The sequence below is a fragment of the Homo sapiens genome, chromosome 16 (genome assembly GCF_000001405.40).
Source record: "Homo sapiens chromosome 16, GRCh38.p14 Primary Assembly".
NCBI lineage: Eukaryota > Metazoa > Chordata > Mammalia > Primates > Hominidae > Homo > Homo sapiens.
In genome coordinates this window covers 25,441,402-25,447,714 of record NC_000016.10, presented here as the reverse complement: position 1 = coordinate 25,447,714, position 6,313 = coordinate 25,441,402, and the positions used below count along the sequence as shown (strand labels likewise).

The window sequence follows — 6,313 nt, the reverse complement described above, 5'->3', positions numbered from 1 at the left end:
AAATCACCCCCCACCAATGAGTGGCATTTGAATGAACTCATGGATGGTTCTGCAGCCCACTCATGTTCCCAGTCTTTACAGACACATCACGTGGTGCTTACATTTGGAAAACCCTGCATGCTGACTGAGATGTGTAGAGACACATCTTCTCTAGAAGGAATGTCTTTATTTGGTCATGTGTAACTATCTTTAGCAGATATTCTTCATGGGTTATACGTTAGAGGTGCAAATCTTTTATAGCTTTATTGAATACAGAGTTGTGTTTATTGCTTTTTTATTTTTGCTTTCAGTCAATTTCAAGAAAGAGAGTGGGTAAAAACAATTTTAGTTCATAAAAGATTTTGGAGAATCTACATTTGTATTTTAGAAAGATCATATTGGCTTCAGCAAGAAACATCATAGAAGACCAGTTTGGGGAAAGGATGTATGAGACTGGAGGTTGCTCAAGCCTGGAAACAGACAGGAAGACCATTAAGAAAACTAATATATTTATGCAAAAGAGAGATGATGAGGTCTAGGAAAGGTCAAGGGCTGAAAGATAAGAAAAGGGGAGAAAGAAGACCTAAGTCTTTGGAGTCATCCGTCCACTGATGACACTTGATGACAAGTTTCTAGCTCAATTTATGTGACAAAATTGGATGGAGACAAGCAGGAAAGAGAAGTGGGCTAAAACTGAATCTTGAGAATTCTGCACTTAGGAATGGAAAGCCAAAGATTCTCCTATAAAAGGCAATGAGAGGTAGATACTGAAAATGTAAGAGGAAAATAATGCAATAGTGCGAGGGCAAAGAGTGTTTCCAAACGGGAGATGGTCAGTGGTGCCCAGTGATTCCAGGAATTGGTGCAAGATAAGGTCTTAAAGATTGACATTGGATTTAATGGCATGAACATCATTGGTAACTGTTATGAGAGTAGTATCAATAACAGTGAAAAGGGAAACCTGATATCAGGGGATTGAGGTGTGAACAGAACATTTCAAAGTATAGTTAAAGAATACAGGAAACTCTTAAAGAAGTTTGACTATAAACACGGAGGTAAATATAGAAATAGAATGTAGAATCAGCTCAAGGAAAACCTCTCGTATAATGATATGCCATATATCATAGCTTTAGGATGCCCCAATAGCAATAATAAATCATATTTCTACAGAAATTTAGTTCAGATGGGCTTTTGCATACCTAAGCTCATTTCAAATTCACCTCACTAAATTATCTCAACTTTATTCATGAGGAAACTAAGGCTCAGAGAGATAACAAAAAAACAATTCTCTAAAGAATAAAATAAGAAAATTAGTACTTTTTTTTGAGACAGGGTCTCACTCTGTTGGCCAATGGTGAATGCAGTGGTGCAATCTCAGCTCACTGCAACCTCTGCCTCCTGGGCTCAAATGATCTTCCCACCTCAACCTTCCAAGTAGCTGGGACTACAGGTGCATGCCACCACACCTGGCTAATTTTTGTGTTTCTTGAAGAGGCGGCGGGGGGGTCTCATTATGTTGCCCAGGCTGGTCTCGAACTCCTGAGCTCAAGGGATATGCCTGCCTCCGCCTCCCAAAATGCTGATATTACAGATGTGAGCTACCATACCTGGCCAGTACATCATTTTGACCCCAGCTTGAGCACAACCCCGTCATTCAAATCCTGGGTCAAGGCCGGTGCCATGACTCATGCCTGTAATCCTAGAACTTTAGGAGGCCGAGATGGAAGGATTGCTAGAGTTCAGGAGTTCTAGACCAGCCTGGTCAAAATAGCAAGACCCATATCTCTGAAAACAAACAAACCAACAAAAATCCTAGGTCAAAGTCAGTTTCCACATCCTTAGCGCAAAATAGAGTCAATATTTCACCTGAGCCCAAAGTTACCATGCAAATTGTTAGATTGAAATGCATACTTTCATTTCCAATGGAATAAAACTGCAGAGTCCAGTTCGCTTTCTATTAACTCCTCCAGAGCATGTTCCCTGCCCAGGTATTTCCATGCAAGGATGACACTAGTTAATTGCCTGAATTAAATATTTTACAGCTTAAAAGGGTTTGCTAGACTACATGATTTATAAATATTCATTCTGCAGGCAAGAGGAAGCAAGGGAAATTTGGTTTCTGGTGACTGCCTTTGTAGCAAACTATTCAATAGTAACACTCAGAGATAGCCTCAGTATCTAGGTAAAGTGTTTTTGGAGCCTCAAATCCCTTATAGGAAAACAATTTCTCCAAATGCACAACCGTTTTTGCTGAGCCACTAAATACTTCTGTTTGCCCATGACAGGGACAGCCTTAAGGTGATATGATAGATGCCAAGCAAATAATCAATCGATACACTGGCTTAAGTCTCCGTCTATCAGTTTGGCATTGTGTGGACTAATTAGATGATAAAAGGTGATGAATGTGTATTAAACTCAGCCTCCCCCTGAAAGCTCCCAGGGGTCCTTTCCCATTTTCTAGCTGACCTTTTAGCGCTCAGCTTTATTGTATGTGAATGCAATTAAATCAATTTGTAAGATATTTGCATTAGTGTGGCTTGTTCAGAATTCAATTATTCAGTGTCTGTTTACTGCCCTTCGGAGGCTTGTGCACTGGCTCGTGTTCAAGTAGTGGATAAAGGCAGAAAGGGGTGATCTGGTCAGGATTGAAGCCCATGAATACCTTCCTTCCAAGGTATTTCTGAGAACCAACTTACCCAGATCCCTCTCCTCCCAGGTCTCAGGAGGGATAAGAATGAACTTTCAACATGGCTGAGCTTTCATCCTGGCTCTGCCACTTACTGGAATAATAGACTTGAATAAGTCATTTAACCTGTGTGAGCCTTCGTTTCCTTATGCCAAAGAGTTGCTTGGCTTTGAGTTCCCTCCAAAATAGATGCTGAGAGTAGGATTCGAGTGCAAGTGTTTATTGGGGAGGTGATAGTAGCAAGTGATAGTAAGACAGTGAGGCAGCAAGAAAGGGATGGGAGAAGCAAATATGAGATGCATTCGGGAGCAGATTACTGTCGTGGGCAACTGGTGTTCATTCCCTCTGGGGACCTCTGGGAGATGGAGTAGAACATTCACCAGAGCTGTCCCACCCAAGAAGCAAGGAGCTTAGGCATTTCTCCACCAACTGCCATTCATTACTGGTCCAGGGGTGTTCACTTTATGGCACTTCAGGTTGGCCACAACACTGGCTGAGTGTCCTTCTGATGCCAGAGAATACCTCCAAATAGAGTAGCTGGCCGCTTTCAGTAAAAAGCCCTGTGCATGCAGCAACATGGCACAGCACAATGGCATCCACTACAGGGGATGGGCTTCATTGTAATGTCAAAGAGCAATAGTACATGTAAAGTCCTTAGTACTATTACTGGCACAGCATAAGTCCATCTATCAGTAATAGTTGAGAAAATCATTTCTGGGAATATACAAATCTAGGAAAGTAGCTTTCCTCAGCATGGGAATCCAACTGTGATCCCAAGTATTTGGCAAAAGGAAGGCCACCGTACTCTATGCCTTATTGAGCAGTGCAGAAGGTGAAATCGTGGAAGGCTTTATGGAGGAGGTGACATTTGAACTGGATTTTTAAGGATGGGTAGGAGTTCACTGGGTGCACAATGGGAGTGCAGACATTCCTAGCAGAAGGGATGGCACATGTTCTGATATAAAGACATGACGTAGAATATGCTTTGTGACCTACTTATAGTTTAGAATGGTTGAAGCGTAGGATGAGGGGAAACTTTATGTCATGATGCCAGAATTCAATTCATAAGAGAATTTTTACATAATTCATGAGCATTATAGTATTAATATTATCTTATAAGCAACAGGGAACCATTGGATCTACTAATGCAAAGTTTTTAATAACACATTTTGATGACACACGAAGGAAATCATTTATAATAGAAATCAGTGGATTAATAACCATAAGTTCAAAAGATCTGCTATACAGGAATGAGAGAAAATATAATGTTTTATATGAAAAGTGCTTCAAGGTTTTCATTGAGCCAGCATGTTACATGACTTCAAAGAAACAAATAAGTTAATTCAAACTTAGTTAGGTTGCATTAATATAAACAGAGCAGTGTCCAGATAAGGGACGAATAGAATCACACTTGATCTGTACTATCTGAGCAGCTCAGAAAGCAGTTGTCCAATTTTAAATGACATATCTTTTCAAAGGGACACAGGTACACTGGAACAAGCCCAGGGAAGAAGAAGCAGAATGTCAGAGTCCAAAAATCATGTAAGATGTAGATGACTGAAGAGCAGAGAGCAGGTACGCTGCAGAGAGTAGACTCGTAGAACACACCTGAGCTGGCTTCTATTGTGAGGAAGAGATGAGATTGAGTCTATGTGGTTCCAGAGGCTCCCAGTGAAGCATGTTTCAAGTCAGTGGAACTAATCAAAGCCATTCAACAATAAAATAGTCAGCCCTGGAGGAAGTTCTCTATTCTTTGGAGTAACTGGTAATAAACGAGAATACCTCTCCAAGAGGCTTAGATGAGATGCTAGCTTTTAGAAAGGAACTAACCTCTAAAGTCCCTTTCAACTAAGATTCTATGATTCTATGACAATGATTCTCTCCAGGTATCCCGCTAGGAGACACACCACAAAAGGGGGCATTTTACAGGGCATACCACAAAGATGCCATTTCTAGTGGTCAAGGAACAAAAAGCAACATCTCTGTGTGGTCAGTTGCAAATGATTGGAACAAGGGGAATACGAAAAGAAAAAGTCAGTGGTTTCCTTTTGTCGTTGTCTAAGAAAAATAATAGGCATCAAATATCTCCTGTGTTCTGGGCGCCATATTTAATAGCATTAGCAATAGAAGAAGATGGAGAAAGAGATAGAGAAGGAGAAAGAGAAGGAGAAGGGAAAGGAGAAGGAGAAGGGGTAGGAGAAGGAGGAGAAAGAGAAATCACAGTAGTAGTAGCTACAATTTATTATTTATGTGCTACTGAATGTTCTCATGGAACTGTTATAAAAACTTTTTAACTTCATTGCTTTACCAGATGAATTCTTTCTGCTATAAACAATATTACATGATCATTACTGTAGACAGGGTTCAGATAAAACACCCTTTGGAGAAAGAAGCAACCTCTCACTTAGGATCTGGGCTAAAAAATTGGTCTTCCCTTTGGACAACATAAGATACTTTCTATGAAACGTCATAATGCACCCCTCTGGAAACAATGATTCAGGTCAGTGCTGTTGAGTCTTTGTGCTTACTAATGTGTAGGCTTTTAAGCATCGTTTCAGCCCCACCTGTTAGAACATCCTGTCCCCTTTTATCTCAGACCTTTGTAGTCCTCATTTTTGTCGATTGTGTTGCAAGATCACTGAACCTCCTTGACACTGAGATTTTCCCATTCCGGATACCCCCCTCCCTCCCACCAAGTGGATACATCTAGGGCCTGTCCCACCCCCACCCCCAACTGGGCCATCTCTCTGAAATGCTGACGTGTCTATAGATACCACATCTGTCTGCGGAGGATCAGAAACTCCCCAACACACCCCTTTTACAAAGGGATCTACGTTGTCACACACTGACTGCAGCAGTTCTGATATAAGCTTCTGTGTGGAGTCCCCATCCACACATATCCAACAATGACTCCGGCATGCTCACTGATGTCTGGGTATTGGCCATTCCACAATTGGAGAGGAGCTAAATAGCAAATATGTCTCCATCAAGGTTCTTTTGTTGTCTCAAAACAAAAGAGAGAAATGAAAATGCTACCGGGGAAAGGCTGGAAATTGAAGGTGAGAGAGTGCAGCCACGCCTCCCAATAAGAGACTGAAACTAGGAGTGGGAAAGTGGTCAGAAATCCTGCAGGATGCCTCTCTCTCTTCCTGTCTCCCTACTCCTTCCCCTCGGTCCCTTCCTTTTTTCTCTTTCCCAGCCTCCCTCCTTCTCTCCCTTTGTCACTCCCTTTTTGGGGCCAGATGGCCTTTTGTCTCTTCCATGTGTCCACTTTATTTCGTCTCCCAGATTGGCTTTTGCTAACTTGGAGAGCAAACAGTCAAATATGGCTGCCCCATATCTCCCAAATTTGCATATTCTTGTTTCAAAATAACCAGCAGGAAATAAATCATAACTCTAAATCCAGTTCCAAGTTCCTAGGAGAAAGAATATCACTGGTCCATTTAATATCACTGCGCTATTTAGGGTCAAGTGTTCAGCCCTGGTTCAATAAGTCATGGCACAGAAGCAAAATTGCATGGTTCCAACATGGCTTTCTGATCCCATCCCTGTGGGATGGAGGCAGAAGTTCTCAAAGAAGGGACATATTGGGTGGGGTGGGCTTTACCCCTCTAACTTTATACCCTGATCACAGATAATTTTAGAAAA

The 6,313-nt window shown here is 41.5% G+C and overlaps 1 annotated feature.

The window, feature by feature from the left end:
* Positions 4,670-5,869: an enhancer, noted in NCBI's record as "P300/CBP strongly-dependent group 1 enhancer chr16:25453167-25454366 (GRCh37/hg19 assembly coordinates)". NCBI's record gives its function as "activates an origin of replication core promoter dependent on BRD2, BRD4, P300/CBP, MED14 and CDK7 cofactors, with strong dependence on P300/CBP, by STARR-seq in HCT116 cells {active_cell/tissue: HCT116}" and the evidence as "EXISTENCE:reporter gene assay evidence [ECO:0000049][PMID:35650434]".